Genomic DNA, 18,321 nt, shown 5'->3' on the forward strand with positions numbered 1-18,321 from the left:
CACTTTGAGGGGCCAAGTCAGGTGGATCACTTGAGGTCAGGAGTTCGAGACCAGCCTGGCCAACATGGTGAAACCCCGTCTCTACTAAAAATACAAAAATTAGCCGGGCATGATAGCAGGCACCTGTAATCCCAGCTACCCAGGAGGCTGAGGCACGAGAATCGCTTGAACCCAGGAGGCAGAGGATGCAGTGAGCTGAGATCGTGCCACTGCACTCCAGCCTGGGCGGCAGAGTGAGACCCTGTCTCAAAAAAAAAAAAAAAAAAAAAAAAAAAAGTTTGTCAACGTGATAGATAACTAGTACCAGCTCTTTGAGTGAATAAAGCAAAGAATCAGAAGGGTTGAAAGCAGCCTCCCAGGTCGCCCCTCTGCCATACCCCTTGTCCCTGGATGTCCAGCTGACACTTCAGGCCTGAACTTTGCCCTACTTCAAGGCAGTCCATTTCTTTGCCAGCCAGCCCTGGTTTCTGGAAGGGCCTTGGCTCAGGCCGCCCCACCTCTGCCTTGCCGCAGCCTGACCTGCTGTCTGTGTCCTGCTCTCTGCGAGAACCACCCACATACTTGAAGCTACTGTTACAGCCTCTTCCCCAGCCTCCTCTTCTTCAGGATCTTTCTATTGTAAAAGTGTCTTTTACAAAGTGTGGTGTGAGAAACAACTATAGAAGAATCTTTCATTTAAAAGAAACACTCCATGTAAGACATTATCCATTAAGTGACTTATGCTTATCTATCTAGGCTTTATCTAGGCTTATGATTAATTTCCTTTAGAATTTAGTGTCAGGCAAGTGTTTTTCTCCCCTGAAGAATTAATATGTGTCTTCCATCAGACAATGAAAGCCACATAAACCTTTTTTTTTGGCCGTCTTCCAATGGGTGCTATTTGTCAGGTCTTTACTATACCAGACTCCCTGCTTTAAATGCAGAATGCCTCATCTGATCTTACTGCCGCGTTTTGATGGGGGTGTTATCTCCAAAGAGCCTGTGCCAAATGTAGTGCCTGAGAACCACAACCATCTTCCTCTGTGAGCCTTTTCCAATGTTGTCCCCACCTCCTTTAACATTTCTGACTTTTGTGTTCATTCCCTCTCAGGCTTTTATATCAGATCACCTCAAACCTTCATGGGAGTAGATTGTCTATGCAGAGTCCGTTCTGAGGTTTTAGACTGGTTTGTCTTTATTATATTTTGCTACATGTTCATTTATTCTCCACCTTTGAAACACAGTTTCCTTCAAATCTCTGCTCAATGACCTTCCCTATCCCTTTCTTTTTTTTTTTTTTTTTTTTTTTTTGAGATGGAGTCTCATTCTGTTGCCCGGGCTGGAGTGCAGTGGTTCGATCTCGGCTCACTGCAACCTCTGCCTTCCGGGTTCAAGCGATTCTCCTGCCTTAGCCTCCTGAGTAGCTGGAACTACAAGCGCACGCCACCATGCTTGGCTAATTTTTGTGTTTTTAGTACAGACTGGGTTTCACCCTCTTGGCCAGGCTGGTCTCGAACTCCTGACCTCGTGTTCCACCCACTTCGGCCTCCCAAAGTGCTGGAATTATAGGCGTGAGCCACCGTGCCCAGCCCCTGTCCCTTTCTCAGGATTAGCTTTTCCCTTTGGGGACCAGAAGTTTGTCAAAGACATACAAATGGTTGCCAACGATGTCCCCTTCTTAGAAGAAATAAGGAAGAAATTGATGAGTAGATGAGCAACTATATCTGAGATCATGCCAGATGGTAATAGTAATTTTGGTTCATTATCTCTGGCTTCTCAGAAGTAAGAGTTTGCCTGTGGTGTTACCTGTGGCCCCTTGAAGAGGCTTGTGGGGGTACGCTGTTATTCATGAGCTGACCCCAGTCCTCATGGAAAACAGGCACCAGCCACCACCACCAGCATCCGCTCCTTTGGGGTACTCTGTGCCTCCTCCCACACTGTCCTCTCCCACTGGGCCTGGTCTGCCTTGTGCCCATCCATGACTCTGTTGGACTTGGGAGGCTGTCGATCTTAGATCAAAAGCAGAGATGAATTTGGAGACCTCTTTCTAGATGCCTCATGATGCCACAGCTCCTAGCCACCCTCCTCCCAAACCCAACGAATGCCTTTTCCTTTGCTTCTCACTGTGCAGGACATGCAGGTGACTGGCGTGGAGGACGACAGCCGTGCCCTGAACATCACCATCCACAAGCCTGCGTCCAGCCCCCATTCCAAGCCCTTCCCCATCCTCCAGGCCACCTTCATCTTCTCAGACCACATCCGCTGCATCATCGCCAAGCAGCGCCTGGCCAAAGGCCGCATCCAGGCAAGGCGCATGAAGATGCAGAGAATAGCTGGTGAGTGGCTGGACCCTGGCAGGGCATCCTCTGAGCACTTGGTGGGTCAGGGCTGTTTGTAGTTCTCACACTGACCTTGAGAACCCCCATAGCATAGAAGAAGACACGTATGATTCAGGAATTGTTTTATATACGAATACGAGGAAGTTCCATTTCCTGGGTGTTTGGTTTCTGGTGAGTTTCTAGGGCTGCATGGAAGAGAAGAGGAGCTCTCCCTAGCAGGCAGGAGGCCAGCAATAAGTAGACGTCAGTGTGGGACCACTCTTCTCAGCCCTTCACACTGAAATTCTCAAGCATATGTTAACAAAGTGCTTTGACGTTACTCTACCACCTCCGATCCTTAAAACAACTCTGGAGTTCTGTAGGGCCTGCTCTGCCCATTTTACGGAGAAGGAAACAGGCTCAGGGACTTGCCCAAAGTCACACAGGCAGAACCCACAGGCAGAACTTCCTACTGTAAACTTACCCCTTCCTCCTTCCCCTTCCCAGTTCTTATAAGAGGCAGCCCTGCTTGGTGAAAGGCTGGAACCCTTGGAAGGAAGTCATTTTACATTTCACGGGGATTGCGGTGAATTTCTGAGGAAGCCCAACACTGCCCAGTATTAGGAAGGCCAGGATTTATTACAAGGAAAGTCACAGAAATGAGGGAGATGCGTTCATTGGGCAGGAAGGCAAGGCCTTCTCCTCGGCGTGGGGGGAAGGCATGCTGTCAACTCCTAAAATGACAGTCTTTCTCAAGATACCCAGTGCCATTCAGTTCAGGCACCAGTGCTCATCCTGGTGGCTGCTGAGAGGATTTTAAGCCTACCTGGGGATGTGGGGGTGCTTTCTCAAGGGATAACTTTAAAATAAGCCCTTGACCAGGCACGGTGGTTCATGTCTGTAATCTCAGCACTTCGGGAGGCCAAGGCGGGTAACTCACTTGCGCCCAGGAATTCGAGGCCAGCCTGGGAAACATGGCAAGACCCTGTCTCTACAAAGAAATTACAAAAATGAGCCAGGCGTGGTGGCATACGCCTGTAGTCCCAGCTATTCGGGAGGCTGAGGCGGGAGGATCACTTGAGCCTGGGAGGTGGAGGTTACAGTGAGCCATGATTGCACCACTGCACTCCATCTTAGGAGACGGGGTGAGACCCTGTCTCAAAATAAACCCTCAGAGGGCCAGTTTCTGGGCGTTACCGATGCGATGATTTACTGTGCTGATTTGCACAGGCCCGCGTCCCACGTTGTCGTCCCCGTCTCATTTCTCACTTAGCTGAAACTTGGCCTACAAAATCATTACTGAAGCATTCTGTAATGTGCAAAGTGACTTAAATCATTCAGCCCTTTCTTTTAAGATTTATTTTCAGAGAGTTTTTTTTTTTTCTTCATGTAAAGCAATTTCTCACAGCTGGCATGAAGGCCAAATACTTCATTTGAAAATTGAGAATTATGCTGTAAAGTGGCTGTTAGAACTAAAGCCTTGGGTATTTCTTAAATTGATTTTAAAAAGCCCCTCCGTATGGATATATTGGGAGGTTTATTTATGGAAGGGAGGTTAGTGGCTGAGACAGATAAACACCCACTCAGAGTTACACATGTACATGCACATCCATATTTTCGCATGCTCCTGCACATGTGCGGATATACATACACACGTATACGTGTGAACTCTCTGGGCAGACTCGGCCCCACTCGCTTGGGGTCTGAAACAGCCTTTGTCAGGGTCCTTTACACATGGAAGCTGAGAATCCAAAGTGGAAATTGACCCAGCTTCCATTCCACTCGAGGAGCCCAGGCTCAAACCCCTTTCTCCTTGGTCTCAACCTTGGCCCGAAGCCCTCACTTGGCTTCCGCTTGTGCGTTGAGCCTCAGTGGGAACTTTGATGTTCCACTGGTCTCTGCAGCTTGAGGCTGCCTGCCGCCCACTTGGCGTCTCCCAAGTGATGTGCCTGGCAGGGCCACAGCCACTACGATGTCCCCCCCCCCAAATTCTCACCACCCCCCTCTATCCCACATGCTCAGAGTGAACCATGCTATTGTTTGACCGTAGCCCTCCTGGACCTCCCAATCCAGCCCACCACTGAAGTCCTGGGGTTTGGACTCGGCTCCTCCACCTCCACTCAGCACCTGCCTTTCCGCTTCTACGACCAGGGGCGCCGGGGCAGCAGCGACCCCACAGTGCAGCGCTCCGTGTTTGCATCGGTGGACAAGGTGCCAGGTGAGCCAGCCCCCCGCCCTGCGCCACAGCTCGTTCATCATGGTGGGCGTTCAAGGTCTTTCTCTCTGTGGAGCCTGTGTGAGCTGCCCTTCCTCTCTCAGAAGCCCCGTCGGCTGGCAGCACCAGCTTCTTAGAATTTGTCAAAGCACAGCGCAAGATTAAACACAGCCCCCAAAATAAATTTTGGCTTTCCCTTTAGTGTTTGGTTTGGTTTTCCAGAGATTTGTTGGGTATGTGGAAGAACTTCTCAGAATTGACTAAGAATTTTCTTGGAAATTTCTTGGAAACATTTAAATGATTAGTGCTGAAGTTGTGGGAGAGTAATTTCCTTCTCCATGTAAGATGACTAGAAAGAGAGAGTGTGTTTGGTTCCGGTTACAACCCCCTGAAGAAGTGAGACTTCAAAAGAAGGCCGTGCTGCCCACAGGTCAGCTGTCCACTCCTTCCATATGAGGGCGTCTCCTCCCACTTTTGCCACAGCTCATCTCTAACCCTGCTCCTCCGCTCCTCCCAAAACAGAAACTTGAATGGAAAGTCCATTGCTGATTTGTCAGAGTGGAAAGGACCACTTCTCCAGAAGACCGAGTTCTCCCCTTCCTGTTCTGACATGTCTGCTTTAAGTAAATCCGTATGCACCCCGATCCCTCGAAAGAGAGCCTTTCTTTTGGTTGCAAAAGTTTAGAGCGCTGGCCAAGCTCTCCCTCACAACTTAACCCCTCCCCATATAGGGCTTCAAACTTAAGTTGCAAGTGTTGTGAAATGTTTTCAAAAGCAGTTATTGATTTAAGAACAAAACGCAGCCATAGGAACCTGCTCAAAACCCGAGTCCTGGTTCCCCCATGTGATTTATTTTAGTTTCATTGTTTGATAATTCATTATTTATATGTATATACCGTAGGCATATGATTTTTTAAAATCCAGACAGGAGATGATCAAATGAAAAATAAGTCTACTTTGCTTCAGAAGTAACTATTGTTAACAGTTTCTTGCCTGTCTTTCCAGAAATATTTCTTTGTATGTCATGCATATGTTTGTTTTTTACACATGGGGTATACCGTATGTCTGATGCTGCACCTTGCTACTTCTTCCTTAATAGAAAGTGTCACACATTAACACGTATAAATCAACCTAATTCTCCTTAACTGTTACATGGTATTTTGTCATATGGATGGGCAAAAAAATCTTTTTTGCTGTTTCGTATTTGGGTCATTTCCAGTGTTTTGCTCTTACAGTGTCACAGTGAGCATCCTTAGGGTGTCTTTGTGTAATTGTGCAAATTTCTCATGTCTGTGTGATAAATTCCTAGCAGTGAATTTGCCAAAGGGGAAGGTTTTTAATCTTGATATATGTAGTCCCAACGTGAACTCTAGAAAACAGTACACCAATTCACTCTGCCACCCACAGCTTGTGATTGGTTTCTTTCTTAAATCCAGTCTCAGGGCTGGGCATGGCGGCTCATGCCAGTAATCCTAGCACTTTGGGAGGCTAAGACAAGGCGGATTGCTTGAGCCCAGGAGTTTGAGACCAGCCTGGGCAACACAGTGAGACATCGTGTCTAGTATAAATAAAAAATTAGCCAGGCATGGTGGTGGGCACCTGTGGTCTCAGCTACACTCAGGAGGCTGAGGTGGGAGGGTCACTTGAGCCCAGGAGGTTGACGCTGCAGTGAGCTATGATTGTACCATTGCCCTCCAGCCTGGGCAACAGAGTGAGACCCTGTCTCAAAAAGAAAAGAAAAAAATAATCTTAGGCTGAGAGACTGATTGTGGCACCGCCTGTTTTCAGTGATGAAATGTGAGATGATTCTGCCTGTTTCAGGGTCAGGAGGATTCTTTGCTTAAAAAATTCTGCAGGTTGCTTCGTGTTCTGTGGCTATGATTGCTAAGTAAATATAAAGTGTGACTGAGTCTAAGTTAACTAAGTACAAATTGACCTGGTAAGAAATGACTTCTTTAGGGTCATTGAGGCGTCTTTCAGTTTCGGAACTTACTGGTTAAAGAGAAAAGCCCAGGCCTTATTTCTGTTCTGAGCCCTTTTGGAACAAGGTAGAATGTAAATAAATACATGGAGCCAAGCGGCCCATTCTTCAGCATCTACATGATCATTTCTCTGTTTGCAGAATGCTTTAGGATGACTTATTGCTTACCTCTTCTACCCTGCCTGGCCTTCCACCGGTGGGTGAGAACATCAAATGCCAGGAGTGTGGCCCGGCTCCAGAACCTGGGCCTGCCTGCCGGGGTGGTTGGCACAGCTGGGATGCCCCATGTCCTGTTGCTGGTCCCAGGGTCAGCAAGTGTGAGGCTGTGCCAACTGGGACAACAGCAAGTCAGAGGTGGCTGCTGAAGGCAGCATCCACCCCTTGGCTGTGTCTCCCCTGACTGCCCCTGGAAGTGCCACTCAGCTATGAGGAGTGAGATGGAGACATTCTTATTTATCACACCACCCCCGCAAAGAGGGAGGCCTCGCTGCCCTCCCACCTTGGCTTGGCACCAGAGCTGTGTCCTGAAGAGCAAGTTGAAATCCCTGAGCCTTGGCATGGTGGGAGCATAGGCTGCCCCCACCCCCATCTCAGTAGTCAGGGTCCCCCACAGCAGCAGCCACTCAGCACTTTGGAATCATTCTTAAAACTTTTCACCCTGCTTCCACACCCACCAGCCTGCTTGGCCTCCAGAAAATACTGAGATCCGAGATCTCCTCTCCCAGATCTCCCAAGATTGCAACAGAAGCCTTCTCAGGATCCCTAGCTTCCATTCAGCCAGTGGGATCATTCTAGTACTTAAATCAGATTACGTCATACCCCTGCCTCCAGCTTTTTGGTAGTTTCCTGTTGCACTTAGAACAAAATCCACATCTCTCCTTCTGATCTTGGGTGGTGGCTGTGAGATCCGGCCCCAACTGGCCTCTCAGATGAAGTTCCCCCAACCCCAAGCTCACTCTAGCCCCAACCCCAGCCTTGCCAGCCCCTGCTGCTCCTCTAAGCTAGCATTTCTCAGAGTTTTAGCCTCAGCACCCACGTGTTTATCTGCTTAAAAAGTATTACAGAACTTAAAGAGCTTTCATTTAGATAGATTATATTTATAGATATTTATGACATTAGAAATTAAAACTAAGAAATGCTTTCAATATATACTTCTTGAATAAACCCATTGCATATATGCATAACTAACATAGTTTTCTATGAACAATAACTCTGTTTTCCAAAACATAGAAAAAAATTGATCTTGCACATTTCTGCAAGTCTCTTTAATGCCTGGCTTAATAGAAGACATCTGGATTCTCCTCTTTGCTTCTGTTTTCTGTCTGTTGTGATAGCATGCATTCTGTGGCCTCTGGAAAACTCCTCAGTACACCCCTGGGAATATGAACATAAAAGAAAAATGTCTTACTATTTTTATGAAAACAAGGATTTCCAGACCACACTTTGAGACCCACTCCTGTAAATCACTGTGGCCTTCCCTGCCCCAGGGCCTTGCACTGGATGTCTGTACCCAGATGTTGGTGTAGCTGCCTCCCGCTAACGGCTCAGGCTTAGTTTGTGTGCCGCCTCTTCAGTGGCCTTTTCAGATCAGCTCCTGGCTAGGGTTGTCCCCTCCCGCCACTGCATTGGCCTGGTTCCTTTTTTTTTTTTTTTTTTGAGATGGAGTCTCTCTCTGTCGCCCAGGCTGGGGTGCAGTGGCACAGTCTTGGCTCACTGCAAGCTCCGCCTCCCGGGTTCACACCATTCTCCTGCCTCAGCCTCCCTAGTAGCTGGTACTACAGGCGCCCACCACCACGCCCGGTTAATTTTTTGTATTTTTAGTAGAGATGGGGTTTCACCGTGTTAGCCAGGATGGTCTCGATCTCCTGACATTGTGATCCGCCTGTCTCGGCCTCCCAAAGTGCTGGGATTACAGGCGTGAGCCACCGCACCCAGCCTAGCCTGGTTCCGTTTATCCACAGCACTGAGGTTCCTTACCTGGCTGATGCCTTTGTGTGCCTGGTCATAGTCTTTCTCCCCTGCAGAGAGGGTTGCCTGCGTGGGAACCTTCTGTGCTGTTTACCCTGCATCTCAGCGCCTAGCTCTGTGCCCCCACTTAGTATCGTTGAGTGAAGAATGAGCCTGCATTTGTTATCTGCTCAGCCTTGGAACAGAGCCCATCAAAGGCCTTCTCCCTTCTCTGAACACGGGAAGACAAGGAAAGTCCCTCTGGGGCCCTAGATACTTGGTGGTTTAGTCCATGGAACTTTGACAAGGGAACACAAAGGAACTGAGAACCGAGAAGACCTTAAGCAGCATCCCTCGGCTAAATTTCTGTCACCAAGCGAGCAAGATGTGTGTCCAAGGACCATGTACCCAGGTGACAGATTTAGGTTGGTTGCATATCAACTGAATTTCACCACCCTCCTCCTACTCAGAGTTTTACAGAAGCCACAGAGTAGTGACACGGGGAGCCGGGCAGTGGAGGGAGATTCGGTCATCAGAAACCTGGCCCAGGTTGGCCTCTGATACTGTGACATGTCACCATTGCCATCAAGGGCCCGTGGGTGCTGGGGCGTGACCACTTCCCACCCTCCACAATGGTGCCCCTCCCCATAGGCCGCACAGCGCATGGAGTCCTTGCTTCTGCCTAGATAATAATTCACAAGGAAGAAAACAACTCTGGCTGCTGCCTCGGGGTGGCTGCCAGACAAGGGTGTTTTATTAGGACACATCTTCCGATTTTATCTGCGGGCCCAGGTAATTGTCATAGAGCAGTTTGTCTCCCCTTTAGAAGCTATAAACGATTGTATTTGATGAAAATATGCCTTTCATTTCCTTGGATGAGATATTAAAGTAGTGTATAAATCAGGGCTAATAGGTGACTAGCCACTTTGGTGTATTTTTCTTCTTCCATTTGGCTCAGAAAAAAAAAATCACAAGTTCTATTTATTGGCTGGTTTTATGTTGATGGCTCTCACCCTCACAGAATGTTCAGCTTCACGAGGGATTGTGCGTGCGCCTGGCCAAGGAGGGGGGTCAGTGGCGGCCAGTATGTGGGGGTGGGCAGGCATGGCCAGGCCTAGACTCTAGCCTGAGCACTCTGTGGCTTTGAGTGCCATGTTGCTGTGGTTAGTGCCTCATGGACCTGGCCCATGGCAACAGCTGCTTCTAGAGATAGAATCTGTCATGATGGGCAGGGTGTCCAAAACTCGCCTGCAAGGCCACCCTTTCCATAAACTCCAAGTGGACCAGCAGACCCCAGAGCAGAAGCTGTTCCCCAGAAATGACCCAGGGGTGTCAGGGGCTACGGCCTCCCAGAACAGCCTTGCTCCTCACTCTGGGCTCCTACTGGCCCAGAGGCTGCTTCAGGAGGCCGCAGGGAACCAGAGCTGCTTACAGGTGTTACCCTGGTGGGTTGGTGGGTGTGGGAAGGGCTGGCAGAGCACACAGCTCAGAGGAGCAGCCAGGCAGGTTGACATCTCCTGGCCCTTGCAGATGAGGGCTTAGTGACATGACAAAAAAGTGACCTGTTCCCACCTGGTTTACCATCAACCGCTCCCCACCAGCCTGTTAACTCCGGGACAGGGACTTCTCTGCCTCTTCTGCTGCTCTCTCCTTAAAACCCACCAGCCCCTCCTGTCACCAGCCCCTCTCTGTGGCCCATGGTCCCATGCAGTCTGGCCCCTGCCCTCTTCTGGGATCAGCTCCCAGCCCTCTCTCCCCTCGGCTCTCTGCAGATGACACAATCCAGCCCTTCAGCCGCACTGGCTGGCTGGCTGTGCCTCACCAGGGCCAAGTGCGTCCCATTTCAGGGCCTCTGTTTTCGTGCTTCCCTCCGCCTGGAGCCCTCTGCATGGCTGGTTCCTTCTCAGCACTCAGGGCTCTGCTCCGATACCTCAAAAAGGGGCCTTCCCTGAGTGCCCAGGTCACCCTAGTTCTCTGCACGGCAGCTTGTTTTTAATTGAGGTGAAATTTAACACAACATAAAACTAACCACTTGAAAGTGAACAATTCAGTGGCATTTAGAACCTTCCCAAGATTGTGCCATCATCCTCTCCTCTAGTTCCAAAACATTTCCATCCCCTCAAAAGAAAACCCCATAGCCATTAAGTAGTCATCGCCCACCCACCCCCCCCGCCCCCGCCCCCATCCAGCCCCTGGCATCCACTAATCTGCTTTCTGTCTCTATAGATTTACGTAGTCTGGGTATTTCATATCAATCATACAATCCATGGCCTTTCATGCCTGGCTTCTTTCAGTTTGCATCATGTTTTCAAGGTGCATCTATCCTTCTTTTAGCTGAATAATATGCATTATATGGATAGACGTTGTTTTGCTTCCACCTTCATCCATCAATGCACATTTGGGCTGTGTCTGCCTTTTGGCTATTGTTGAATGGGTTGCTGCGAACATTCGTGCACAAGCTTTTGTTTGAACGCCTGTTTTGTTTTCAGTTATTTCTGGTATATACCTAGGAGTAAAAAGTAGGTCATGTGACAATCTAACTTTCTGAGGAATTGCCAGACCGTTTTCCCATGGTCTTCATAGTCCTTAGCTTTAGCTGAAATTGCCTCTTGTATTCCTTGTTCTCTGACACTATCCTGCACTAGAATGGAAGGCACTTGGCCAGGGGGTGGGTACAGGGTTGTGGGGAACCTCGTTTGTCTTGTCCTTGACAGTGCTCATGGATGCCTATGAAGTAGTTGCTCAGTGAATACCGATGTGTGGGCGGATGGATGCATTGGTGGATGGGAGGCTGGGGGACAGAGGATGGGGCTGGAGGAATTGTTCAGTCTTGTTTTCCCAACAGACTGTAAACCCCTAAGGCCAGGGTATTTCTGTCTTATTCAGGTCTGGTACCCTGTGCCAGTTGGTGGTGGTTTGGGTGTGAGCTGGCAAGTTGGACTTCATCCCTTAAGGGCTAAGCTGGACTTTATTCACTTCCTGTCCCAGCTTCCTACTGGGTTTGGGGCTCCAGCTGTCTTGTGGTAGATATTTAACTCCCCTGTATCACCTGAGGTCAGGAGTTCGAGACCAGCCTGGCCGACATGGCGAAACCTCGTCTCTACTAAAAGTACAAAAATTATCCCAGTGTGGTGGCGGGCACCTGTAGTCCCAGCTACTCGGGAGGCTGAGGCAGGAGAATCACTTGAACCCGGGAGGTGGAGGTTGCAGTGAGCTGAGATCTTGCCATTGCACTCTAGCCTGGGTGACAGAGTGAGACTCTGTCTCAAAAAAAAAAAAAAATTTTTTTTTTGACTCTCCTGAGTATCTGGGCCATGCCTTGCTTTTCACCGGTGTTATCTTTATCAAAGGCACCTAAACCGGCAGGGTCAGTCACGTGACCCAGAGCACTTAATAGTTCCGTGGAAAAGCCTCGCCGGTTCCAGAGGCAGCCCTTGGCAGCTGAGTAACTTAGGAAGAATGCAGAAATGACAGTGTGCTATGAGCCAGCTGAGCTGACCGCAAAGCCTCTGACCGCCATCCAAAAAGGCAAAAAGAAAATTGATGTTTCATTCATAGACATCAGTTCAGACCTCCCCTGAGAATAACGTCCTAGGTGCTAATGTCATCTCATGGTGGCATTTTCCAGGAACTAATTTTTTAGTCCTCTTATTTTTCTTGTTTCTGATTATAAAACTGGAGCCAGTTCTCTCCTTGTAGCTCCCCAAGGCAAAAAATACCCTTTCTGGAGTCACACAGGAAGAAGGACCTGGGGCTTCCTCCAGCTTCTCCAGCCCGGTCTTAACCCTTTCCCAGCCTTCAGCTCACTGCTTAGAGACTTGGGCCAGCAGGTTAGTGAGGCGGGTCCGTGAGTTATGGAAATTTGATTCCTACCCTCAGGCCTTTTATAAAGCAAAATTTATTGAGCTGCTAAGCACTTTATGCATTATTCTTGTTCGAGCTTCCCAATAGCCCTCAGAAGGAAGATGTTACCATTTTCCCTTTCAGCAGGTCAGAAAGTGGCCTACCCAAGGTCACACCAGATACCCTCCCTCCAGCGTCAGACCCTGAGTCCCACCACCATGCTGAACCAACTTTTAATTCATAGCTAATGTGAATTCCCCTTTTCTGATTTTTTTTTTTTTTTTTTTTTTGAAAGAAGGGCCTAACAGCAGCCACCTAAGGCCTCACTGGTACCAGGCAAAACTACGTTGTCGGCTCCAACTCTAAGCATATTTTAGACAGAAAAATTTGTATCTATTTCTGGAAGTGTGAGCTATAATTTGGAAGAATTAACCATGTTGGGCACTTTATATGCACAAATTCTATCCTCCCGACCACCCTGGAAGCTGGTATCACTTGCTCTGCCTCACAGATAGGAAACTGAGGCTCAAAGCAAGACTGCAGAGCTCACATGAGATAGGCTGAGATCTGTACCTCCCCTTCCTGCCTCTAAATCCCATTTGCTTCAAGGCTGGCATTGGTGCAGGTTGAATATTCCTTATCCAAGATGCTTGGGACCATGAGTGTTTTGAATTTTGGATTTGGGGGAATTTTGGAATATTTGCATTATACTTACTTACTGGTTTAGCTTCACTAATCTAAAAATCCGAAATCTGAAATGCTCCGATGTGTGTTTCCTTTGAGTGTCATGTCGACACTCAAAAAGTTTTGGATTTTGGATTTTCAGATTTGGATTGCTCAACCTGCAATGACTGAGCTACTTCGCATGGCAGCTCTGCCTGTCTCAGAATGTCAGAGATCAGTAGGATAGGCCCTCCTTAGAGAGGGGCCTCAAGGGATGCCCCTGGTCTAGACAGAATGTTCCCTACTCCCCTCTTCCGTCATCCACCCTGGCATAGGCCCACATCCTCGTGCCCCAAGACCCACTTCCAGTGTTTCAAGGACAAACCTGCAAAGCAGCAATCCAGAAAGATGCTCCGTCCTGAGACCACCACTTCCAAACCAGGCTAGCGGTGCAGGGCTCGTTCCTGCACAGGTTTGTCCCTGGTGTGCATGAACAAAAAGCAGAAGGATGACTTCAAAATCCTGCCTGAACAAAAGCAGCAGGATTTGAGCCCCTTTCAAAGCTTTCTGGCAATTGCCTCTAAGAGATCAGCCTTCAAGTGGTGGGGCAGGGGTGTGGGGAACAGATCCTACTCAAAAATCAGCCCTGAGCTGAGTCCAAGGGGTCTCCTGTTTGCCAAGCCTCTTTTCAGGGCTCCAGAGCAGCTGTGGAGAGAGAGAGCCTCAGGGAATCTGGAGCTGGGCTCACACAGCCAGAGAAGGAACCGCGTTCCCGGATCCGGGCCTGCAAGGTTTCCCCACTCACAACATGCCCCCCAAAGACACTTTCCCAATAGACACAGTAGCACTTGTCATGGGGAGCCCTCTCTCGCTAAATATGGACACAGTAGGCAGGGCCAGCCATCTTGCCCAGATGCTTTTCTGGGAGGTGGAGGGAGGGGAAGAAGAGAGTTCCAAAGAACTGAGTGTTGCTTCACTCTTTGGGGTCATTACCTAACTCATACTGCCAAAGCGACTGTATGCCCGGGAGCCTTCTGGTCATAAGAGTGTGTCAGATGGCAGGGAACACTCCCTGGTTGCTAATAGAGAAGCCCGTGCAGTAGGTGGGGGGAGAGAACAAACCCCATATGCAATCTGCCATTTGACCTGGGCCATGCCTTAGAATGTTCTGTAGGCTCGGGTGGGCCCGCAGCAGGGCAGCCATGCCGGCAGCACAGCACAGGCCAGTGTCAGTGGCAGAGCGGGTGGCTTGGCCACACACCCCGTGTGCTCACCAGCACGGGCCTGGCCCCACACGTAGGATAGAGCTCTCCAGCCTCATCCTCCAGCCTCCTAGTCAAGCACATCTAGTGCATAACAGAAAAGACTGGAAGACACCAAGAAAAGATCGAACTTACCAAATCTTCCCACCCCAGGGTGTCCATGATCAATCCCAGCATCCTTTTTTTCATTGTTTTTCCTGTTCATTCACAATGGGGTTTCTTTTCCCAGCAGCAGAGTATTTGCCCAGGTGAGAAGCAGCAGAATGAAAGCACCCAGCACAAGCCAAAGAGTATGGGCCCAAGTCCCAGCCTTCCACCTCCACGGGAAAATTGTTAGGTGGCCTTGACCCATTTGGTTCACCTTGTTGGATCTCAGTTTATTCATATAAGAAACAGGGATGATGCTCGACAATGTGAGTGGACTTAAGAACTGAACTGTACTCTTACTAATGGCTCAGATGGTAGATTCTGTTATGTGTACCACAACCGAAAAACAAAAAATGGGATACAAGTGTCACCTCATTAGGCTCTTGTGACATAAAATGAGTTCATTCACCTAAGTGCCCAGAACAATGCCTGACCCATATAAAACGTGCAGCAAAGGTTAACTGCTCTTGCCATTTTGTTGTTGTTGTTGTTGTTGTTGTTGTTAGTTAAGGGCTGAGCCTTGGGACCCCAGAAAATAGGTTCCTTTTCTACACATTAATCAATTAGCACGAACAAAATTACGAATGCAGTAGTCCTTCTGCTGTCAATTACAAAGACATGCTGCAGTGGCACAGAGTTGCTCTTTCACAAAGACTTTCCCTGGGCGTTGGTAAAACACCGGGGTGTAATAGAGCAGGCAGAATTTTCCTCCTCACACAGAAGAGATCCTGTAATCTGCCTGAGGCCCCACAGCTCTCAGAGGCTGAGCCAGGGCTGGAGAAGAGCACAAATTGGGCCTCCAGCCCAGCACACATCCTGTCCCCTGGGGTGCTGACTGCCATCATTGGCACTGCGCCCATCTGAGCCAGGCAGTCCCCCGGAGCCTCACAACAGCTCTGGGAAGCTAGTGTCATTCCTCAGTGCCCAGTGTTACCAGCTCACAAGTGGCCAGCCAGGGCTCCCTGGTTTCCACTCCGTGAACCGCCATGCCCTCCGTTCTGAAGCATATTCAGAGGCAGAACACCTGGAAATCAGGTGAGCTTTGGGAACCCCACATATTCTTGCTGTATTCTACTCCATCGTGTGAACCAAGAGTACAGAAGTCATCAGAGAGCATGACTTGCATCTGTGTCTCAAGTCTGTATCTAAAGGAAAAGTCCATAAAATCACCCAAGGAAACATCCTAAGCCTTTTCTGTTGGTGTTTTTTTTCTTTGCTTCTGAATCATTTGTTTTATCAACCGCAAGTTCTCATTAACAGACAAGTGATAGGAGATGCCAAGGTGTGAAGGCCCCTTTATGGCAGAAAACCGAGAAACGAAAAATTCCTAGCCCTTAATTCTGTATGTAAGTTGATAAAAGTCCATCTTGATTTGATTTTTGCCTTAAAATCTCTCTGACTAGCTCAAAGACAATCCCCTGGAACAAGGTTTGGGAACCACTTCCCAAGAATTAGAGTGCCTTTGGGATCCAAGAAAATGAAATGCCAGCTGGGCGTGGTGGCTCACACCTTTAATCCCAGCACTTTGGGAGGCCGAGGCGAGTGGATCACCTGAGGTCAGGAGTTCCAGACTAGCTGGGTGACAGAGCGAGACTCCATCTAAAAAAAAAAAAAAAAAAAAAAAAGTGAAATGCCAACATGGTGAAATCCCATCTCTACTAAAAATACAAAAAGTAGCCGGGCGTGGTGGTGTGTGCCTGTAGTCCCAGCTACTCAGGAGGCTGAGGCAGGAGAATTGCTTGGACCTGGCAGGTGGAGGTTGCAGTGAACCAAGGTCGCACCACTGCACTCCAGCCTGGGTAACAGAGCGAGACTCCCTCTCAAAAAAAAGGGAAATGCAAATAAGCAGTATTGCCGAGTGCACAGTTGGTGGGAAGGAGAGTTAGTTCGTGAGGACCCACTAAGAATGGGAAAAACCAACTGAATCAAAAGGCAGAGATGCAGCAATAATGGTGCCTCAGAGACAGGCAGAAGCCATTTGATTTTCCACGTGGCCGTTTCCTTCATGCTGCTGATGGCCTCTTCAAAGCACGGCAGCTCCTGGGGGCCAGGGTACGGGACCGCCTGGTGGAGAAGAATTGGGGTAGGGAAAGAATTGGCATTTTTTAAAGGAACTTTTACAATTCCAAGGAAGTGACATGACAAACATGTTGACGAGGGTCAGGAAAAGGAAGGTTGGCTGAGCAAGCGTTTACTAAGGCCCTTGATGAATCAAATAAACACTGCACAGGGCTTACAGAGAAGCCTGGGGTCAGGGGGAGGGACTGTGAGCAAGTCTTGCCAGCTAGTGGGCTCTGTGGTGCTTCTGGCTTGGCACATGCAAAGGTGTGGCTGCAGGGTAGGGATGAACAGAGAGCTGGGAAGCTCAGCAGGGCCCGATAGCAAAGCGCTTTGTGAGCTTGCCCCATGGTTCGAATTTTATCCTAGAAGCAGCAGGAAGCCATTGAAGGTTCTAAGACAGATCAGGGGACATGGGTGGCAAAATGGACTTGGGTTTTAACTGACTGGAGTTGGGAAGGGCAGAGGAGAAGGGTGGAGTGGGAAGGCCACAAGACACATTCTGGCCCCTTCACTGCATGCTCACAGCTGTGCGTCAGGTGATGCCCGTGGGCGGATGAGAAAAGTCCCACAGGCTGGGGTGCGGCCTTCCTTACCTTTCTCTGGCCATTTGCCACTTACTTGTACTATAGGATTATATTGCTTGTTTCAAAAAACCTAAATGACCACTGTTTTCACTCAACAGCGTATCCTGGAGTGTTTTTCATTTTAGTTCGCAGGCGCACCCTCATTCGATTTTGACTGCTGCGATCATCTGGTCAAACCACTGTTCATTGAGCCAGTCCCCTACTGATGGATGTTTAGGTGGTGGCCAATTTTTTGTCCTTTAACAAATAGGCATCTCCAAGTGCCCTTGCGCAAGGGTTTCCTCAGGGTAAATAACCATGAAGTGAAAACAGAAATAGCTACGCTGAGAAACTAACAGGATTTGGTGACCAATTTGACTGAGGGAGTGGGAAGCCACAGAGCTAGCTTAAGGCAAAATCTTAAGAAGGCTTGGTTTCCCTCCCCGAATGTTCTCTGTGCATTTAGCTAGCAAGGGCATCTCGATGATCCCAACTTCTGACCCAACAGTCCTTGTGTGTCTTGTGGGTCTTGTTCTGTCCAGAAGGCCTTCGGGAGTTGTGGTGACTAGAAGGGTCCCCAGGAACTGGTGGGGGTCTCCGGGGTGGCCCACTCATAGCTTGGCTTGTCATCTCAGACAGAACCTCCAAGCTTGGCATGATGGAGACACCAGTGGGTTCTGTTCCCACCTCCTGGCACCTCTGCTGAGGTTACAGCTTTCTACACTTCTTTTCTCTCTATAACCAGAATCCCATGACTAAAATACAGTTTTCTTTATTTGCAGCTGTCCAGCCATGGCATTTAGTATAAATATGCTTTTCTCCAAAAACACACACAGTATTATTTTTTTTAACATCTCAAATTCCCAAAGGGCCAAAAGTCAATATTATCCCAGTGTGATAGGAATGGCTGTTTTGCAACATCTCTTCACACTTACACAGCCTGCTTGCTGAAGCCTCAGAGTAATCACAAAAACACATTCCAAAACCCATCAGCCTGGCTGCTGGATTGTTTTACTGTCTCTGTCACTCCCTGCTGTGAGCTCAGTCCTTGAAAGTCGCCGCCTCAGTTTCCATGTTGAGGGTGAGAAATTCACAGCGTGATTTGGGGAGCAGATGCTTCAACTGTATGAACTGCAAAGTTTGGACTGTGAAGTGCAGTGACTCCTCTGAAAATATTTGCTAGCTGGTAAAATTCAGGCTCATGGCATATGTGGTCTACTTCTAGCCTTACAGACTTATTTAAGGTCCCAGGATAAAAATCCTATTTATTGAATGCCAACTATGTGCTAGGCACTGGGCTAGGTGCTTTACACAAAATAAGGAGATAAGTATGTAAATACTG

The 18,321-nt window shown here is 48.7% G+C and overlaps 1 protein-coding gene and 1 long non-coding RNA gene across 39 annotated transcripts in view; one reads left to right on the forward strand and one right to left on the reverse strand.

Moving 5' to 3' along the window:
- Positions 1–18,321, forward strand: part of CLEC16A (C-type lectin domain containing 16A) — a 237,623-nt gene that overhangs the window by 177,068 nt on the left and 42,234 nt on the right. For 27 of the 37 annotated variants that reach the window (NM_015226.3, XM_005255214.3, XM_011522434.3 and 24 more), the window contains 2 exons: positions 2,111–2,315; positions 4,348–4,515. In NM_015226.3, the coding sequence (NP_056041.1) occupies positions 2,111–2,315; positions 4,348–4,515 (373 nt within the window). Of the gene's footprint in view, positions 1–2,110; positions 2,316–4,347; positions 4,714–13,627; positions 13,738–14,437; positions 15,543–18,321 lie in introns of those variants that run through there. The other 10 variants (XM_011522439.4, XM_047433863.1, XM_047433864.1 and 7 more) reach the window with 5 other exon arrangements.
- On the reverse strand, positions 7,740–13,419 carry LOC105371081 (uncharacterized). Of its 2 annotated transcripts, none has more exons than XR_001752081.2 (2): positions 13,332–13,419; positions 7,740–7,867 (listed from the first exon to the last, which is right to left on the reverse strand). It is a non-coding gene; the product is annotated as an uncharacterized LOC105371081 (long non-coding RNA). The 2 variants fall into 2 exon arrangements; XR_933069.4 differs by lacking the exon at positions 13,332–13,419 and adding an exon at positions 8,471–8,585.

The sequence above is a fragment of the Homo sapiens genome, chromosome 16 (assembly GCF_000001405.40).
Source record: "Homo sapiens chromosome 16, GRCh38.p14 Primary Assembly".
Taxonomy (NCBI): domain Eukaryota; kingdom Metazoa; phylum Chordata; class Mammalia; order Primates; family Hominidae; genus Homo; species Homo sapiens.